This window comes from Homo sapiens, chromosome 13, assembly GCF_000001405.40.
Source record: "Homo sapiens chromosome 13, GRCh38.p14 Primary Assembly".
Taxonomy (NCBI): domain Eukaryota; kingdom Metazoa; phylum Chordata; class Mammalia; order Primates; family Hominidae; genus Homo; species Homo sapiens.
In genome coordinates, this window is record NC_000013.11 from 57,708,028 (window position 1) to 57,730,377 (window position 22,350).

A 22,350-nucleotide genomic window follows, 5' to 3' on the forward strand; every position below is an offset into this window, starting at 1 on the left:
CAGCCTATAGCTGTTTTTTCTTCAACTTGGATGAGATCAATTTTTCTGATTAAAGGAGTTGTGTACTTTATGTGACTCTGCTTATATTATTTTAAAAATATATGACATATTTTGAATGTATCTAAAATACATTAGATATTGACTACTGAGTTTGGATTATTATCAAGTAAATGTAAAGTGCTTTCTACGTAGTAAAATGGTTAATGGATATTGAAAAGCCTTATTGTTGGTACCATTAAAAATCTAAGAGGGTCATGTTATATGCCGAAAAGACAAATGAGTTTGGTAACAAAGTAAGAATATATGAAGGTCCTAGACTTTGAACTTTTTTAATATATATTTGGCAAGAACTAGTGCTTTTTCAGAATGTCAAGACAAACATAATAACAAGGTAATTTCTAGATTATTCTTTTTCTCTAAACAAACATTCAGTATATTCTGTATTCTCTTTACTCTGTTAAATATTACAATAGTCATCATTTAAACATGTGCGTGAGGCAGACTTATTTTCAGGTGTTTCCATCTGTTGTGAGGGTATACTTTAAAAATAGGACAGAAACACACACAAATTAAACACAAAGCCAGGGGAAAAAGAAAAGAATGAAAGAAATATCCCCAGGGCAACAGTGAGAAAAAAACCATTTGAGCTGCCTGTTATTAATTGTTCAACCTGTTTTACCTTGGAATCCTACATAATTATTTTCCAGGGGAGGGGCAAACAACAGATGTTGAATAAAGGTTGAATCTCAGAAAATGAGACTATTTTAAAAATAAAGTTACTCTCACTCACCAACAGGCATTTTTTGTTGGCAAGACTTTCAGGCAGCAATTGATTTCTCATATTCACTGTGCATTTCAATAACATTAATGCAGAACAAAATATTCTTTTTTTGTTTGTTTTAGTCTAAGAAGTAGATCAAATATACATGTACATAATATATCTAAGTTAGAGGCTCATAAAAAGCAAAACAAAAACAAAAGCAAGAATATACCACAGCATTTTCTTAATTTTGTATTACATACATGTTTCATGTTAGGTAACAAAAAAATAGAAGATGTTACAGAAATATATATATGTATAAAATATATATATATATTTCTCATTGCTAAAGTCAGTACATTCTTAAATTAGGTGACTGAGTAAAGGGCTAAATTACAAATAGTGTCTTGTTTCAAGTTCTAGACAGCATATATTGTATAACTAATATTAAGATGCAGTACACATTTTTATTAAAACCTTGGTAACTAGGGATATTACAGAATAGTTTGTGACTTTAATTTTTGGGGCCTGCTTGTTCACATCTTCTATCCACTATTGCAGAAAATTATTTTATTTAAGGTTAATGAATGCATCATCATCATGAGTGTATTTCTTCCATGGACCTAGGAATACATCTTGTTACTTTGCACTGTTTTCATCTCATCTAAACTTAAATACCCCCAGAAAAGTAATTTTCTTCCAATAAGACTAAGTCTTATGTAGCTGGGGAAATACCAATGACCATATCTTTTAGATATTGATCATTCTAAAGAATTTTAATATAAAAGTTAAAATCAATAGAGAAGGATTCATAATTCAGTTGGCCCTTTTTCCTACTTGGTTTTTTCTATTTGTTAACTAAAAATATTTTATTTTTCAAGCATTCCCGACTTTGCTTTCCTTTGCTATCCTCACCCTACACACCATCACAAGTAGACTTCAGTCTGTTGATCTGCTTCCTCCAGGTGAGCAATTTCTTCATCTGCTAGCTTTCTTCTCTGTGATCCAAATTTTACTTGTTAGATGATAGCACTCATAAAACTATACATTTGCAAGGCAGAACATGTGGACTTTATTTCTTTAAAGGAAAATAGCATAGTAAGTGAGTAATTTTCTTTATTGTTTCTGCATTAATGCTCTTAGTATTTCCGGAAAAGCTGTATAGTGTTAACGGTTGAAACAAGAATCTAGTCTTACACCAGATTTTTAATATTTGTTATTCTTAAGTGAGTTTAAGTGGGCCAAATCTTAATTATTTCATATTTTGAAAATTCTACCACTTATATTAATTTCACTTAGGAAATAGTGTAGAATAAACTGATGGAATGGAAAGTGGGCTGTACAGGAAAGAAAAACTTGATTATTTTCTTTTGGTGTAAGTTGTTGGTGTAGATGCAATCTGCTTCACTGTTGCCACCTGAATAACTGTGTTTCACCTGAGAAACTGAGTCCCCAAATTCCTCTTTCCTTTTGGACTCAATTACACATCATATTAGCTAAGTGTTACTTTGTGAAAATACGTTAAAGGCTTCTTTACACAATACTTTAAAAAACCTTTACATAGCAGCCCCATATAGTTTCCTAAAGGCAAGGCAGAACCAAAATTATATAAATTATAATGGCTAATGAAGCTAAATATTTAAATCCCTGGAACTCCATAAATTATGCAATACATTTCAATCTCTAAGTATGCTTTACATGTGATTCAGATAATCTTGGAAAACACATTAACATTTGAAACAACTGGAAAAATTAAGTAAAAAAACAGGAAAAAGTATTCCTATCTCAGGTGAAATTTTAGCTCAACATATTATACCATTCTACGTCTGGATATCATCCAAGTCTCTGAATCATTTGAATGCTTTTGAGAGATTTGATTGGTTTCTGCATAGTTTAATCACTACTTAAGAAAAACTTGCTACTGGAGAAAATGATTATATCAGGTTGTTGCTGTGCTTGAAAAACATACATGTATATTATAGTAATCTAAGAATCGCAATTTTTCTTGCTTTATTCATGCCAGAGAAAGAGACAAGGTTGCTTTATTTCTTGTATGGAAATGAATGGAAACTGGAGTAAAAATAGAACAGCTTTAAACAGACAAGGTTATAGTTGGGAAAGTTATACCTGTCCTTGATTTGGGGGTAAAAAGGTGAGAAGTTTGAAACACAAGTGTGTCAGTGTGCATGTGCATGCACACACACACACACATATGTAAGGTCTATATAAAGTCTTCCTTGTTACCCTTGAATAGCTGTGATTTCACATTGATTAAATTTTAATTAGTTGGGAAAAGTGTTATATTTTTTTCATTCAGCAAAAATTAAATTCAAGGGTATCATTTATACCAATAATCATTTTGGATTTTAGAATGTAAATTTTTATACATTATTTCATGTGTTCCTCAATATATTTCTGCCTTGATCTCACATCCATTTCCTGCTCAAATGTATGTGAATGCTCACTGGTGCATACATGCACAGGCACATGTACACCTGTGCAGAACCATGGCCATTTACCAACAAGAAACACAGAGCTAGTGTTGTGATTGAGCACCAGGAAAACTGGAAACTGTTGTTAGGTAAATTAAGCCTTATTTTATGTCCACTAAGTGGTTCTCAGAGATTGTTGTCTTTAGGCAAGGCCCCTTCTATTCATTTCCATCTGGTATATGAATGTAATTTTTTAATCATGTGTATGAAGAATGCATGCATAACTATATGTACATTTGCTTTTTAGCTGTATTCCTTGGGTGATAATTATGTGACAAATTTGAAGTTATCATTTTAAATTTACATTTTCTCAAAGTGTCAAGATAATCAGGATAGCAAAGCTTGCTAATATTTTCTATTGAATATATACTATAAAACTCTTCAATTTAGAATACAATTGTTGAGGCTACTGAATGTAATTTTGCATATATATTTTTGATTATTATAAAATTACTATAACATAATCATTTTGTCTCTATGTTATAAAATAATCAGAATAATAATATTTTTACTTTTGTTTCAATTATCTCCCAAATAGTTCATATAGATATAATCTTTGTGTTTTATAGGTAATAAATACATCAATGAGTTATGTATCTTAGGATGTATACTTTTTAATAAATTATTAATCTAACAATACATTATTTATATTTGGGATTTTATGCAAAATTATGTGCAGATATATTTATTTTTAGTAATAAAACAACTATACTCAATAAGAAAAAAGCCTAGATAGAAAGTTTCTTTTTACTAAATACTGCTAACCTAATAATTTTTCCATTTTATAATAATAGCAGGTAGGTTTCCTTTGTGATCATAAATACTTTTATCATTTAAAGAATGAGCTTTAAAATAAATATGTTACTGGAAATTTGTCAAATCAAATAGTTTAATTGTAGTTCACTTATGGGTAGACCTTGGATTTTAATACTGGATAACTTTAGCTCAAGTCAAAAACTCATCTGGACCTTAAAAATGTACACATTCACGGTTAGAGTGAAACTTACTTAAATTCAAGCTTTTTTCTCCTTTCAGCAGAGACGTTGTGATCCCAATTATGTGTCCAATAGAAGTGTCCACATTCTCTGATTGACTTATGAATTATATTTCTAAAGGAATTTTAGGGTCCAGTTAGAAGATTACTGCTATTTTCCTAAGCATTATAAAGAAATGTGCTGTGAAAGCAAATGTAAAAATCTGACTTGCCTGAATTTAAATTTATTTTTTTAATAATAGAGTTGCCTAAAAAATTTATTTTGGCTAGATTATGAAGGTCTTAGAACACCAAACTGAATAATTCATCATACATCCATTTTTGATAATGAATATGAAAATTGTTAAATGGCTCCTTGAAAATACCTTTGGTAGCAACAAAAAAATCACTTATTTCTAAGATTGAATGAAAAGATTATTAATAAGAAAAACTCAAATATAGCATGTTTGAATTAAGAAAGACTGTCTTAATTAGTTCTTCTGTTATATTAATATGAATTCCTTTTTAGATTGGATTCAGATTAAAAGTCTGAAAATAAAATAATTGCTTATATATTTCTATTTATTTTCTTGTTAAAATTACCCTTTAGGAATGCACTTCACTCTTACTGTCTGTTCTTTGCTCTGGGTATGGCTGATTATCAATGGAATCGCAGAAAATACTCTCCAAGATAAGAAAGTATTTAAAACATCACTGTTAGACACTTTTTTATCTCCATACTGCATGATGCATGGTAACATTTTCTTTAAAAACACATTTTTATCTTTACTGTGATTCAGAAATAGCCCTCTCCAGTAGCTTTTTTGCCCCTCAGTTTGATTACATAGCAGGATAATCTAAAGAGCCACATCTCCTCTCTTTTAATATGTAAATTTCCTGACCTCTTCTACCAATTTCTCCAATGCTTCAGTGTGTTTTAATGATTACAAAACATTAAAGCTGTTACTAGAAAAACGGCTTGTCATTGCCAATAAAACCTATTACAAGAAACATTTCTGTATATTTACTTTAGAACACGGATATTGAGTGCATTGATTTCACTTAAAGTTTTATTCTTGGGATGAACCAATTGTAGAGGATAAAACACATCAGCTTCCAATAAATTTATAGCACAGTTACAGGTAATAAGAACAGAATGGTTTTAGAGAGGTAATTCCAAGAACAGCCTTTATTTGAAATGGCAGTTATCATTGCTTTCCTACCCTTTATAGGTATTTTTGACTATTTAAAATAATAGTAGCCATAAGATTCACAGTTTCAGCAGCTTAGTGGTAGGGGTATTGTTTGAGTAAGATCAAGGCCGAATTGTTTAGGTCCAAATGCCTGTATTTTATTCTAAAGTTATCTTTGGAAACTATCATTTTAATTGTCCTCTTAGAAAGATTCCACTTCATAGGAGACATTTGTATGTATTTATTCAAGTACATATTTATTATTATTTTTCTGTGTGTGTGCATGCATGCACATGTACGCGTATGCATGAACACATTGAGGGTATTTAGCTTTAGTTTTTACATTTTTGTTATATAAGTACCTGTTGCAGAATCATTTATGGAGTAGTATAGTTTCATACATATTTCTCACTCATTTGAATCTTTAAAAAAACCTTTTGTATTACTTCTTTCTTCAAAAATATAGTATTTTTGAAAATACTTGTCTGAGCAAGACACGGATCTGTTCGTGTACACATGCCCACCTAATTTAAGTTAACAAAGGAAACTTTAGACCTATCCCAAGTAGAAATCTGTGAGTTTAATAAATAGCTTCTGGAAACTAGAATGTCATTAAAAATATTAAAATATTAAAAACATTCTTTAAAAATCTATCTTCTGGGACTCCCATATCCTATTGGCAGAGGTTGATTGCTAAATAATAAGCCAGAGAAGATGAACTGCATCTGAATTAACTGTTTTCTGAGAGTGCTAAAACTGACACCTGATTCTGTTTGCTTGTTTCTAGCAATGGAAAATAAGAGCTGCTAGAAACAAGATGAACAACAGGATTTAAACTGGTAAATAGATATACATCCCAATAGCAATCAGACAGCAGGCAGAGAGAAAACACTAATAAGACTCTCTTGCTTGCTTCTTACAATGAGTTTGGTTTAATAGGCATGTTTTCATTGACCTTCCTTACAGGATTACCACTTTGCTAGGAGGATGACTTGAATCTTAGATGTATTCATCCATGTCATCAAAAATGGTGTCATTATCAGAGATGGGGTTGGCTTACAGAGGCAATAAAAGCATAAGGAAAACATCCTCTCCAAAGATGAAGGATAGTAGAATACTTAAACAGTCTTGGGTCTGAAATTCACAGTATTATTTAAGTTGCTAGAATTTTAAATTTGTCCTTGTAAGCCAAACAGCTTTTGCTAACTACTGCATGCCAGAGCATAGGTTTCTCACTGCATATAAATCAGGTTCTTTCGGAAATTGCATTAACTCTTTCAAGACTCTAAAATTACAAAGTTTTATTAATTAATTCATATGTTGATGATAGCTGTTGGCTAAAGTGTAAGATACAGAGACAGCTCACTTAAAAGAGAAAAGTGTCTCATTCGACACGGCAATGCAGTAGAAGAAAAAAACAAAAGAGAAACGTAGCAGAGAAGAAAGAAACCTATAGGTGCTGAGGTGTAGTTTTCAGGATACTCACTGTTTTCCATAATTTAAAATTATAAAGAGGTGATTATTTAAATATAGGCTTTGATTTCAATAACAGTGTCACTGGTTTCCAAAATTTCCTAAAGGGAAATTATTCTGACCTCCAAGTTCGAGTAGAATATATGTCAGGCAGGATTTATCTCATAATTTAAAATGGTATTTTCAATAATAAATAGATAACTTTATATTTTCTATATAAACATTGTTTTTAACAGACATCTGATATTACTGTAAACAATGCATATCTCACAGCAATAGACAGCTATTATGTACAACTTCATTTGGTCCTGGGATCATTCTGAAAACTGACATTATGATCTCACAAATGAATGGTACTGAAATGAGTAATTTATAAAGTATGTAGTTGTTCCCATTATAGGTTACCCGTAGTGTTTGATAACTTTTAATTTAATGATCCTTTCCATCAATTAAAGCGTCTGTTCAAATTCAGAAGTGTACATTGAGTGTGTCATATATTCAAGGAATGGAATGCTGAAGAATATACTGTAGTATCTTGATTTCAAGGGACTTTAGGGTCTCCAGGTAAACAGATAAAAAATAATAAGGAATGCAGAGTAATGCTGTAATATATAATTCAATGGGAAAATTGCTACATTATCTTCATACAAAATATAAATGCTTATTTAGGAAAAAATTGGAAGTTTTTAAAATTTATTGTTCTTTATATGGTGTATCAAAAACCTTTTCAATGGTGTATCAAATATGAAAACTGTTCTGAGATTCATCCATCTTACTCTTTGTTGTTGTCTTTGCTTTGTTGATATATTTTTTACCTCTCTTTTGAATACCTAGCGAATCTCTTTTGTTCCAGACTCTCCATTTTCTGATTTTCTAAAATAATCCTTTAATATTTCAAATACTTTACCATATGAAATGTTATGTTTGGTTAATGATAACAGAAAATTAGAGGAAGAGGGAAGAAAGATAAAGCAGATGTAGGAAAAAGAAATATTTTTCTAATGAAGAATTTAAAAATGCAAGATTTATGCTGGTAACATAAAATACCAGTTTAAATGCACATTAAGACTTTCTTTAGAAGAAGCAGGATGATATGAAAGATGAAAGCTGAGTCTGGGGGCTGGAATGCCTATTCCAGTGAATCATTCAGGTCTTGTTGTGTCTGTTGGAGATACTCTGGCTTGAGCCAAAAACTCTAGATATCCCTTTTTAGAAAAAATGCTGATTTGGATTCTATTTACCCTATAGCTCATCCCAATTCTATAGTTTCATTAATGGTGTCTGATGACTTTCCAATCAACCACCGAAATAATTCAAGAATCTTTGAGACATATGATACACTGCTTAAATACTTATACTAGTGCTTCATTGCCTGCTGCATTAAATTTGGTCTTTTACTTAGAACTTTTCCATTCTTTTTTCAGATCCTAGCAAATTTTCTCTACATTGTTATGTCAAGTGTTGCCATTGCAGCTTAAGTCCTTTGACCTATAAAGCTGGTCTCTTACTGCCCTGTGAAGTGCACATTCCCATGTGAGGTGTGTTTCTTTTCTTAATCCTTTACCTGGAGCGCCCTCTCTCTGCTCTCCACTCTCTGTTGAAACCCTGATCAGCCTTTGAATCACAGATCAAGCACCACCTCTTGCATAAAGCCTTTCACAATATTACAACCTACGCTTTTCTCTGTATTTCTGCTGCTTGACGTTCATATGACATAGTTCAAAATGTAACTGATCATGAATAATTTCCCATATGCTGGTTTCACTCTACTTTTTAGTTTCCAATCAAAGTTTAAACTCATCGGTAAAGAGATATAGTCTTACAAATTTCAGAACTTTAGAAGTAGATAGACCTAGGTTTATTTACCACAGACCTGTATGCAACAAAACACTCATTCTACAGCATTCTACCCAAGATACCCCTCCTTGAAAACTTTCAATTCCTAGGCAAGGTGTGGGGAGGTGTGTAATGCATTTTTACCTTATAAATTATTGTGTGTAACTTCTTTAAAGTAATTGCTGAACTACACACATCTAATGTGCCCACAAAATGTGAGCTGTCTTTATGCTGGTGGGACGTTTGAATTGTATTGTTTTTCCTTGAAAGTCTCTGTAAGCATACTTTTCTCAAAGTGAATATAAACCTTGTTCTGGTGGTATAATATTGAGCTTCAGCCAGTTCTCTTCGGGGTACCTGTTAGGAAAAAGATGGTTCCATTTAGCTGTGCCTTTACTTCCAAGCATCTGCCGCTGCCCCAGGTGATGGCTGTGCCTACAGAAGGGAATTCAGGGAAGGGGCAGATTAAATTTTCAGTGTTGATCTCAGTGGCATGCCATGGGACACAAATGATATTTGTGCCATAAATTCCCAATGCATGGTTTACATTCTCATTGTTTTGTAGTCCTAGCACTTCCATATCAAATACTGTTTTGCATTTATTCCTTATCATAAATTTCATTTCAATTTGTCTTAAGTTCTGTTCACCTTAGAGCGTTATCTATGTGTGGTCAATATATACGCCAGAAAATTCCACTCCGGTAAACATTTTACTATGTCCAAAGGGTCACAGACACTTAAAACCATCCCTGAAGGTGTGCAGGTGCATTGAACAGTAAGTGCAAATGCTCCAAACAGCTCCAAATACCCAGCTGTGATTGGATTCACTTGCTTATGATATAGGACAGTGATTTCTGGTGTCTGAATGCAGCCGTGGCAATACATTCAAAAGCATTGTGCGATGCAGGTGCATGCTAGAGGATTGGTACTTCAAAGCTGCCGTGGTTTGACTATTTGATAGTATTATAACAACTTCCTTTTCAAAATGTGCTCTCTGCTATCAAAAGCAGATAGAATAGCACTTCACAAAGTAAAATCTGGAAGCCAGATTAGCAGTGTATACTCCTCAAAATGTATACATTTTTTCTCATAGTAGTTTTATTACTTGAGATATATTTTAAATTTATAATTCTTTATGGGGCTGATTTTTTAAAAAATAATTTTATTTCCTCAGGTCCTATGTCTAATTTTTCCTCATTATATCACTGCCAACATGTTAACAGACAACCTCATGAAATAAGCATATTGTAACAAGATATATTTTCCTCATTATATTAAAAAATAAAAGCAGCAAGACATTCCATATCTGTGTATCTCTATATTAGTTACTTGATTAAGAAACAACATGTATCCCTGTGCACAAGTGAGACACATGGGAAATACAATGCTATAGAAGAATAGCTTAGCTAAGCAAGGGATGGATTCTCCGATTAACATTTTTTCTTACACAACCCTGTTCTTCCCTGCATAAAGGATAAAATAAGCTTATTAAAAATGGTGTTAAAATAAAACTTGGAAGTAGGAAAAAAATTCCAGGAAATTTGTAATATTAGAATACCCATTTAAAAATCTGACACAGGAAAAAATAATTTTGAGACAACTTACTTATCCAGAACTGTCTCTAGAAATAATATTGAAAGCAAAATTTTTACTCCTTTTAGTCAGATAGTGAGAACAGAATATTCATTTTTAACAATATACAAGTAAATGGGACATAGAAGTCATAAGTGGAAATAATAATGTTTATGAATATAGATTGTTAAGGTACCATTTATATGGAATGACTCACTCTATTATTATAACAAGTGTAAAGTTTTTATAGGATCAGAAAAGAAAGTAAGTCAATAATAATCAACATAGCCAAAAAAAGAAAGAACTGTGTATGTTAGAAAAGTGTCAGTTCACAGGATGTTGTAAATTATGTCAACTCACTGAAAGAAAAATCCATTTTATTAGAGGTATGTTGGACCATTTTCTGATGAGATTTCTGTTTTAGCATTGATGTTTTCTCTATGTTAGAATATATTGGGATAAATTGCAATTTGTTGTGGTCATAGAAAAATGTGTGCACATGCATGTGTGTGTAATTGTGTGTATGTGCTGAAGAAAGAAAAAGGCCATAAAATCAAGCTGCTGTTATACCATTAAAGCCTCTTAACAGAAAACTATTACTGAGCATGAACTGCCAGCCAAAGGTCTTGGCTTGGCTTGGTTTGCAGACAGATAAAGAATTTGTGATGGGTACTTAGCTTAGATTCTGTAGAATTAATCTACAGAACACTTGTGCAGACCGTAAATAGAGATGAGTGCTTGCTCTCTGATTTGGAAGACAGCTAATTAGATATTATGAAAGCTTACATTGTTGAAAGAAGGTAAATTAGAAACAAAAAAAGAATAACGGGAACAAATAAAAACTGGACTTCCATTTATAGAGTTGTCTACTTGGAAAAACTCTAATATTAAGATGTTGTTAGAAATGATACCAACTACCACAGTAATAGGAGAACACAATTTCTATTTACATCTGTTTACAAAACAGAAATAAGACCATTTGGTTGACAATCATAAAGCACAGATAACTTTTTGAAATGTCCTTTTCCCCTGGCCACAACAATTTAGACTGTCTTTATTGATGCCATGATTTATAGATTTTGGTTTTTAAGTGTCTATGACACAGACATTTATCTCATCATTATAGAAAAGAAAATCAGAGGCAAATACTGGATGCAGATAGGAAACTCCTGTGCTGCAAACTATATGTACGTTTTCAGGTGTACAAATATGTAAGTTCCCAAAGCACCAAGTAAGTCTGAAACTCAGGGGAGGAAATCCTTTTATGCTCTCTAAAATTTCCCTAAGTGGTCACAAATTACTTTTGTAGTGCTCTGAAGACAGGGAAAATAAGTTTAAAATTCTGACTTGTGACAAATTTCTGCCTGAGAGCAAAACAGAATAGAATAAAGAGGTAGATTCTCTCCAAAGTAAGACTTTTTTGGCTGGTTGCTAGGCATATTTCCTGTGCTTGGACACTACAGAATCAGAATCCACAAGTGTTTTTCCCTGAGCTTTCCACAATAACTATGTTCAACTGAGGCACTTAGTCTTTGTTAATCTTTGTTGATTTTAATAACATTTTGGTTTCAACTTTCTATCTTATAAATGATAATTTTGGGCATCATTGAAATGGCTATGCACTCCTGTGATATAGTGACATTATACAATTAAAACACATTGTAAAATTAAATTATATAACATTTGTGGGAGACTATTAAAACCCAACAATTTAAAAGCAGATAATTTGATGTTTTTATCTAAGTATTTTTTCCTCACATAGATATAATTTAGAATAATTTCACAATGGCTTGATTCATCTGAAGGTATATTTTGTCACAAAATGATTGCTTGCCTGATATCCTTAAGATTAAGCTATTAAACTGCTTAGTGTAGGTTAAAAAAGAGAGAGAGAGCTTTCAGATATTATCAGCCAATATGAATATGCAGATTTCGGGTATCTTTATGTCCAAATCCATTTTAATTACATGAAATTCTAAAATCAGAGACAGTTAAAGTGTTGATCTAATCATAGGTTTTGCACCCAGGCTTGTGGCAAAGGGGAAGATTAAAATGTTGCTTATTGGTGCTTTTAGTCTGAAAGATTTATACATATGTGTACATTAATATATGTAAGCTTTGTTAATATATAAACAAATACATAAAATATTGTTATTTTATTTACAATAATAAAATATTGTCATTTTATTTACAATAATAAAATATTGTCTTGTTTATGTACCCCTGATATTATGAATATAGAACTTCCTGTGATTCACCTGTATTTCTCTTATGGTAATTGCTAGTAGTTAATGTTCAGAAATGCATAGGTTATGAATTTAAGATTTTCTATTTTATTAACGAATTTTTAGTCTGTGTCTTGGAAAAAGCTAAGTTTTATCACAAACATAAAAATAAAGGTCTGTATACAATATGAATATGTGTGCATGTGTCTGTGTGTGGTTTATGGTGCAGGTAAACTGCAAGTACTACAGTCTTTTGAGTTACTTCATCTGTTTTGCAAAAATGTCATATAAATTAAGAGGCACAATTGAACTAATTAAGGTTACTGCATTTAGATACTTCCCTTTGAGGCTTGCATAACAGTCAGATGCAGCAACAGGAGTATAGAAAGTGATTCTTAATACTAAACAAGTGTTTAAAGTTATTTGATTGTCACATAATATTTCAGGGAATCATGCTTTTAAAAGATTAGACATTGTAAACTAATAGTTTATAACTGTAAACACTGTAGTTTACAGTGTCTAATATAGGCAGAACTGCCCACAGTCCCACCTTGTGTACTTTAGAATTGTTTTCTTTCTGCAATATAAACATGCTTATCTGTGAGTATCTCTCATCTGCATACTATTTAAATTTTGCTATGTTTCTTGGCAAGGGATGCATTCTATGAAGGGGTGATCATGTTATATTGAGGAAAGTAGGAAAACAAAAGTAAGTAATATCTTGGCAATCCCAGATAGAACCTGAAGAAAAAAGTGAATATTTGTTCAACTATTTTTTATTTGATTTCTTCTGTTCAGGGTTTCTGGACTTGTTTTCTGGTGTATATATTGAATATATGCAAACGGTGGCTATCTAAATAATTTGCTTTTTTTTTCATTTCCATAGCTTATAATTTAACATATCTATTCCAGAATCCATTCCCCTTAAAGTACAGAGAGCAGTTTGATCATCTATCTTAGAACTGTAGGGCTTAAGTAAATACTCTTCAATGTTATTTTTTATTATACACACTTAACTTATTGAGGGCACTTAAAAATGTGCAATAGAAGGTACACGTGTCAGAAATACTGTGAATACACCCCTTTTTGTCTTAAACAAACCCTTTCTTTGTGGCAGCTTTCCCTCCTTCTCCCTCCACACTACACTCTCTCTTCATCTACCCCCAGCCCTTGCCTCACTCTCATTCTCGTTTCCCTCCTTCCCTTCACTTTGTTTTGCTTCTTTCCCTTTCTACTTTCTTCCTTTTTTCCATTTGTCTATCTTTTTTGCCCAACCAGTCATTCATTGTATATTATCTGTGTCTCTTCTTTCTGTATTTACCTATTCATCCATTTATGTTTTTTCAAAAATGATTTCCCTCTCTCACAAATTCTAACTTGACCCTTGACAGTTAGAGTTCATTTTGTGCTCATAGTTTCTACTGTTTGTACAAAAGTGTCCATTCAATTTTCTTCACTGACTGTGAACTGCTGCCATCAAAATTATAGTCTAATCACAAGGTGAACAGCTTGTAATGTATCATAATCAATACTCAAAATTTGCTCCCCACGATGTGACATAAAGGAGTTAAGTAAAATGCTGCAGATTTTCAGCAGTGACAAGCAAACAATCATTTTATGTTGGTGGTTTCAAATTCAAGGTCGATTTACACTTTCATACGTCTGCATTATTCTTTCTTTTTCTGTGTCTTAAATTCATACTGAATTCATTCAGTGTTAGCTATCCAAATAGCTGCAATGAAAGGCCAGTCAATATGAAACATGAAACTACATTAGCATATTTCAAAGACAGTGTATGAGTTATAAATGAATTTTTTAAAAAATTTCATGATGCTAGAAGATACAAAAGTATTACTGAGTGAAATAGATTGTAAAGTTTTCTACTTTTCCTTCTTTCTGAAAGATAAAATTTGTTGAAAGTTATCTATTTGTTGAAATGATTTTTTTAACATTTACTGACAGATATAAATAAAGGTAATATTTATGATTCCCATTTAGAGTAGGTAAAGGAAACAAATGACTGATACCTGATATTGAACCTTTCTTTTTGCTTTTCTATGTATTTATTTACTTATTTATTTTGAGACAGGGTTTAACTCTGTCACTCAGGCTGCAGTGAAATGGCATGATTACAGCTTACTGCAGCCTTGAACTCCTGGGCTCAAGCCATCTTCCTTCCTCAGCCTGCCGCGTAGCTGCATGCACCACCTCACCTGGCTAATTTAAATTTTTTATTTTTGTAGAGGGGTGTCTTGCTATGTTGCCCAGGCTAGTCTCAAACTCCTGGGCTCAAGCAATCCTCCTGCCTCAGACTCCCAAAGTGCTGGGATTATAGGCATAAGCCACTATACCTGGCCAATATTGAACTTCTGATACCCCCTTTTAAAAAATTTCAGTTCTAATTTAAATACATAAATAGAGGCTTCTGAAAAAAAATAATGCCTAGTTTCTGCTGTTCTTCATGTCTGTCTAACAGTCTTTCGATTTGTAGATAGTATTTGCGTCTGTGGATGCACTGTGTGACTGCTTTTCAGCATTCTTTCCTGCATAATAAATTTAACAGTGAATATTTAATTTACTCATAAGAAAACATTTCTTTTAAAAAATGACAAAATTAAAATAGAAGAAAGATACCTAATTTTTTTTGAGGTTTCACAGGTGTGAATAAATAACATAGTATCTTTGTTTTCTCAAGACACCATTTTGATTTCTTCCTAAAAATTTCAGCCTCTTAAGAAATTGTTTTATCTTAAAACCTTTTGAGATAAAACAGATTGTGGGCTTTTTAATGTAAATAATTATTTACATGCTTTAAGTATAAATTTAGGTTTCATATATAACTTTGAGAAGTGATATACAAATTTATCAATGCTATTACATTTGCTGCTATTTTAAATATATGTTTCATGTGGACATCCTTTTCTTGCACAGGACACTCTAAATGTGTAGAGATCATCTAGCACCAATTAAATGGCAAATCCCAAGGGCGCCTAAAAGTGTAGGGACTTCTATTCCCATTACATAAAGGTAAATTGTAAATATCCTCTCCTAAAAGTAAAAGTCTCTGATTTAGAAACAGTCATTAACCACAATGGGCACAATCATTTATATAAGAAAGGGACAACTGGGACGATGTAGCTCAAAGTTATGGTTTAAAATATTGGGGTCAATGGAAGTATGCAGCTCTTCTATAATTAAGGATTTTTTTTCATATTCCACATTCAGCATCTGTGAAATAGAGATCATTAAAAGAATGCTTTATTTAGAGTCTCTATTGGCAAAGGAAAAAAGTAAAAATTCCCACAGAAAGCATTATTATTTAAAATGGGAAATCATGATTTGTCATTCATTCTGACCTGTATCTGTTGAGTAAATGCATTTTCACCTACTTACACCCAAAACAAAAAGCTGAACAGAAAACTGATTACATGATCCATACGCCTATCTAATAAAATAGAGATGTGCACTTTTTGACAAGCTTATTCATAATACGTCCTGATAAAAAATTCCATTTGCCACTCTCAGTAGGAAAAGTAAGCATTTAAAGGAAACCTTTTATTTCATGACTGTCATCCAAATAACAATTACAAGCAAAATAGTGATAAAACGTTTTTTAAAGAGCAGCTTAGAACTTGTTATGGAAGTTTGCAATCCAGTTTTTGCCTTGTTATTTGATTTGAAAAAAATAATCCTGATAATCTTTTTTGAAGTTCACTGTTTCTAGGATGAGTTATACAGAACAAAGACTAACTGATATTCCCAGGAGTTTAGTTTATGGTGATGCTCTATTCTACTGAGAATGATTCTCCAATGGCCACATCTTACTTCTTCCCAGGCTGTGGGAATTCATTAATCTCTAGAGAATAGACTTAAATTAAACCATTGTCTCAACCAGCAGGTTTATGCAACCATCCTGAAATGTTTTAATTATTGTTTTCTTTTCCTTTTTAATTAAGAGACCAGAGGTCAAGCAAGCCCATTGAGAGCTGATCACAGCCTCTGTAGAAATTTAAAGAAAACTCTAATGATTGGATTTGCTGTTTTCTCTTTTGTTTTGCAGAACCAGAAGAGTGTGTTAATTGCACAGATGAATGCCGAGTGCTTGGTCATTCTGACAGGTGCTGGATGCCACAGTTCCCTGCAGCCAATCAGGCTGAAAATGCAGATTACCGCACAAATCTCTTTGTACCTACAGTTGAAGCTAATGTTGAGACTGAGACTTACGAAACTGTGAATCCCACTGGGAAAAAGACTTTTTGTACATTTGGAAAAGACAAGCGAGAGCACACTATTCTCATTGCCAACGTTAAACCTTATTTAAAAGCCAAACGTGCCCTGAGCCCTCTCCTCCAAGAGGTCCCCTCAGCATCAAGCAGCCCAACCAAGGCGTGCATCGAGCCTTGCACCTCAACAAAAGGCTCCCTGGATGGCTGTGAAGCAAAACCAGGAGCCCTGGCTGAAGCAAGCAGTCAGTACTTGCCCACTGACAGTCAATATCTGTCACCTAGTAAGCAACCAAGAGACCCTCCCTTCATGGCTTCCGATCAGATGGCAAGGGTCTTTGCAGATGTGCATTCCAGAGCCAGCCGGGATTCCAGTGAGATGGGTGCTGTTCTTGAGCAGCTTGACCACCCCAACAGGGATCTGGGCAGAGAGTCTGTGGATGCAGAGGAAGTTGTGAGAGAAATTGATAAGCTTTTGCAAGACTGCCGGGGAAACGACCCTGTGGCTGTGAGAAAGTGAAAAAAGAAAAAAAAAAAGGCATTGGCATTTTCTTGTCTCTTCTGTTGATTTAAAAATGATCCCTCCTGGTGATAACCCATTTTACAGGGATGAAGAAAGACCAATGCTGCTTTAAGGCTTTTAGTGAACATCTGAAGTGCCCACAAGTATGTTCTTTCCACTGCTGATTTCTTTTTCAGAGATAACAATGGTTTCGTTTTGACCAAACTTGTATTAGGACAGAATTAATGATGCTTAAAGAGAAAAGAAAAAAAGAGAGAAGAAAAAGGAGAGATGAAAAAGGAGGATGAGGAGAAGAATTACCTTTTGACAATCTGTTAGGAAGGTATGCAGTGTGAGAACTGAAGTATTTCTGATCACTCTCAGACTGTCCTCCGTGATTTATGCTGACTTAACTGTTTACCTATAAACCCCATACAAAGCAGGGTCATAATTTGTGATCTGTGGTGGATTTCTAGCAGTCATCACAGGCTTCTACTGAAAGTCCTGAAAAGACCTTGCAGTAGTCCAAGCTACACCAAACATTAACACATATTTGTGGTAAACATTTCTGTATAAAGTTACCTGACACACATATAAACACAAGGAACATTCCATATCATTAGTCGAAAACAAAAACAAAAAAAAAACCTTTGGTCATTTGTAAGACATCTCATGTCATATAAAAGTTAAATGTAAAAAGATACAGTCCATTTTGTCCTGCACACACGTAGACTAATTCACGTCATTAAAGAAGAAGAAAACTTAAAGATTTAAAATGCCTATTTAGCATTTTAGTGTCCAACAAAGATTTAAACAATGATGAATATGTTTTAAATTTGACATAGAAAAGTTCTAAAAAATAGTTACCATTGAGTGGTAAGATTCAGAGAAAATTAACTTGATTAATATGTTTTATTCATTTGTGGACACTAAAATAGCTCAGGAAAGTGAAAATGTCTTAGACATACGCAAGTCACATGACCATTTAAATGTGCAAATGTAAGAAGATTCAATGTGTTTACATCAAATGACATATTTTATTGATTTATTGCAGATTCAGTGCATATGAGCCAAATTGTTGAGTGTGTAAGAGCTATATTGTGTATTTTATTAAATTAATATATAGTTGTGTTGCAAAAATATTTGGGCTTATATTGTAAATGGCAAGTGTTGCCTTGGTAGCTGTCGAACTCTATGAGTTTTGTTTTTTCCTGCTTCCTTTTCCCCATGGAGTGTGGGAAGCAGTGCCTCAGAGCAAAGTCTCTTGTTTAATGTATAGTCTACCAAGTACTACAGTACATAATCTGTTCAAAATGTGTTTGAGTGAGCTGATGGAGCTAACTGAAAGGTCAAAAATTACATCCATCAGTCATGGTTATGTGCAAGTCCTTGTAGAAGCTTTTATTAAAGTCATGCTAAATCACAAGAATTGACATTTGTACCAATATCTGAAACTTCTTCATGTTTTTTCAATAACATACAGCTTCTGCCTGTGTAGATATTATGCCATCAGTTGGTTCTCAAAAGTATTTTAAGTGCTTCAGATGTGTGTTCCCATTATATTTTGAAAACATGAAAAATGCTTTAATGCATGTATGTACCAGCAGTGGTTACTTGCATTGTGTAGTGTTTTTCAAGAGGTCTGGGTCTTAACAAAATGTTTTCCTTTATCTCAGTGCTCTTCTGCCTCTTTTTGTTGGTGTCCTTTGAGAACAATACACCTTCTATTCCTTCATTTGGTTACACCTTTCCTTGTGACATTTAGCGAGTTTCAAACTTACTTCCATATGAGGCTAAGAAACCTCAAATTTCAGGAATTGGGAAAAATAAAATTAGCACTTGCAGAAGTAGCAGCAGATGGGAAAATGCCTTGATTGACATTTTCTTTCAGCATTTAAAATTTTTGGCATTTTACAGCTTCATGACAAACAGTTTTGTGCCCATACCTTAGAAAATGTGGTGCTGAGTTAAATAAAGGCTGTTTGAGCACTGGAGCAGAAAAATGCATTATTTGCAAACTGGTGGATAATTTTGTGCCTTCTCTTCTGGCCACCAAGCCAGTGTAGAAACAGCAAAAATGTCATAAAAATTCTTATATTTAAAACAAAAACAAAAGCAAAAACAAACATTGAATTAAATTAAGTTTTGTAATTTTAAACTTTAAAAACTTCTACTGAAAATATTTCCGCCAAATGCCATCAATATTTTAGACTGTACCTCGTTTGCAAAACTGCTTTGAGAGGGAAGAGTGGACAACTCCCATCAGCCTTATTCTCTTGAGAACTATATTTTGGTTCCTAGTAACAGCCTTTCCAAAGCTCTACTCTTGGTTTTTATTACTCATAAATGTTTAAATTAGAAAAGAAGGGACCTTGTACATGTGAAACCTAATTGACTCTCTATATTTTGGACAATTTATGTATCTGAAATGTGTTGTCTCTGTTATATGATGTTATTTTTGCCAGGAGACTACAGGTTGATTTAGCTTGATAGCTGAAATTTGATGGAAAACTGATTTCCATTTAGTCTTACCAAGTGTTGCTTCTCTCTTACTAGACAGATATCCACTTAGTAAAATCTAAAGCAGTATGTAAATGAAACCAGCAAAGAGAGTAGGGTTTATTTTATAAACATTCTTAATGCTAAGTAACCAGTTGTTCAATTTATTATATGTGTCTGAGGACATTAAAACACCATAAGGTTGTAATAATTGGTTGTGCCAATGTGTGAGGGATTTACCTTTAGGCTCTCTGTCACCAGTGATTTACTAGTGTTAGCTGTTTAACACATTATCTGTATTTAGTAGTGATTATTTATTTACAAGTTGGTGGTAATTCAGCAGTCAGGACTCTAAGCTTTTATAGTTGAATTGAGGAAATCTCGCTTTTATTCATTTAGCTGGCAACTGCCTTTATTGCAGACCTCTGGTGCTTGGCTTTCAAGGAAGCCTATGAGATGCCAAAATCACACCTTTAGAGAGCACCTTGCTCTAATAGGTGATGCATGAGCAAACAGTGAGATTTGAAGGGGTTTTAACATAATTTAGAATGTGAAAAAAATATCAATTCATATCTTTCAAGTACTAACCCCTCAAAAAAGCCCACACATACAAAATATGTGATGTGATACCACTTTGTCTTTTAGGTCTTTAAGTAACTGAAGTTAAGCACAGAAAAAAAAATCACTTCATGGAAATTTCAGTAAGAAACCCAAACTTCTAAAAATTGCTTGCAGATGAGCTAAAAAAAAAAAAAAAAAAAAAAAGCAACAAAATAACCTTTTCATCAGAGTTAAAAGTAGTGAGAATCTGTTAGTTATACGTATACCAAAGTAAACATTAAAGAGACATATCATGCAATTTCAAAGAATTCTTTCATGCTATTTCTTAACCTGACATTTCTAACTTTATTGCAGGCAATATACAAAGATTGGCTCACTACTCCATAGGTTAATTGAATTCCTGGTTGAGAAACTAACTTGTTTTGTTTTCCAAAATTAGCTGAAATCTTGTAAAACATGACTTCCCTTTAAAGGATCTAGATATTGTTCAATTTAAAATATGGCACCATAAAAAAGTCATGTAGTAATAGAGCATATGCTTTTTTAGAACCAGGTTAAAAGCTGTTTGTTATCTAATAGAGTAAAAGTTACTGAGGTCAACAGATAGACAGGTCTGGCATAATATATGCCCAGTCATAATAGTCTAATTATATTCTTTTGACAACAGACAGCATTCATCAGAGCACTAATTCGAATGAGAGTTTTGGCTATCAAGATGTGTTGATTCTAAATATTATTGAATGAGACCTGATTAAAGTCTGACTTTCCTGGCCCCAGTGTTTTGCAGGTTGGCTATTTCCATTATCAGCCCATCACTCCATAAAGTTCTTAGCTGCACCAAGTGATTGGTGAACAAGGACAACAACAAAAGCAGCATACATTGTATGGATTTATCTCAACGCTATTGTTTAATGGCTGTGTTTAATGTGATCTATCTGGAAAATGAGGACTCCGAATAAAAAGCTATTACTAATAGTGGTGTTGCCTTCCCTTGAATTCATTAACCCAGAAGGGATGTGTTACACACTTCCCTGTGCATATCACAGGGACCCTGATCATAATTATTTTGGAAAAGCAAACTGTGGCATCACAGCTCATTTTGCTAGTTATCTGCTTGCCATTAAAATAAGACTTTTTTAAACAAAAATTACTTGATAGTATCACTAGTTTCTCAATAGAAGTGGATTAACAATCTTTCACATAGCTTAGATAAATTGGCTAGTTAAATAATTACCAAAGGGTCATAGCCTAATAATATTTGTGGTTTTAAATATTTACAATTAATATAAAGAGAATTTGGCATAAGATCTCAGAGGATTTCAGAAAAGTACATTTATAAGCTCTGTCATAATCTTACATGACTAATGAAAGCAAATAGAATAGTCCTCTCTCATCCGCAGGGGAAACGTTCTGAGACCCCTAGTAAATGCCTGAAACTCCAGATAGTACAGAATCCAATATATACAATATGTATAAATGGTATTTTAAAGTAAACACATATTTATCTTGGCATTTAAAAATAATAAACCTCCTTTTCTCCTCATTTAACAAGCATCTATTGCATTCCTACTATGTGTTTGCCTTGGGCTATGATGCCTCAGGAGTAAACACTAAAAAGGAATGGTGTCAGAGTTACTATCTTGTTGGACAAGTAATTAGGTACATTCTAATACACATTACTCTTTATAAATTAGATTTGGTCGTTTGCATTTTTTCTTAGTTAATCCACACATCCCACATATCTGCCATTTCACTAACTGAGTGACATCTTCTAAATTTCAAACTAGTGTAATATTCTTTTTGTTTGGAATTTTTTAAAATTTTACTTTTCTTCTAGCTGCATAACATATATCATGAAGAGTGCATTGCTTTTCCATATCTAAGAAGATCTTTATAGGTTAGATTTATTGTTATAGATTAAATAACTTGCATATTTGTCCTTTTGTTCATTTATTTGCTTGCTTTTTCTTTTTTATTGAAGACCACTTATGCACTAGGTGCTATACAAGGATCCTAAGGTACAAAGAAGTGCTAAGCCAAT

The 22,350-nt window shown here is 32.9% G+C and overlaps 1 protein-coding gene across 4 annotated transcripts in view; it reads left to right on the forward strand.

Annotated features, from left to right (window-relative positions):
- Positions 1–21,284, forward strand: part of PCDH17 (protocadherin 17) — a 99,204-nt gene extending 77,920 nt beyond the window's left edge. For 3 of the 4 annotated variants that reach the window (XM_005266357.3, XM_047430276.1, NM_001040429.3), the window contains one exon: positions 16,585–21,284. In XM_005266357.3, the coding sequence (XP_005266414.1) occupies positions 16,585–17,267 (683 nt within the window). In that variant the 3' untranslated portion in view covers positions 17,268–21,284. Of the gene's footprint in view, positions 1–1,641; positions 3,676–16,584 lie in introns of those variants that run through there. The other variant, XM_017020547.2, reaches the window with a different exon arrangement.
- Positions 21,285–22,350: the final 1,066 nt, after the last annotated feature.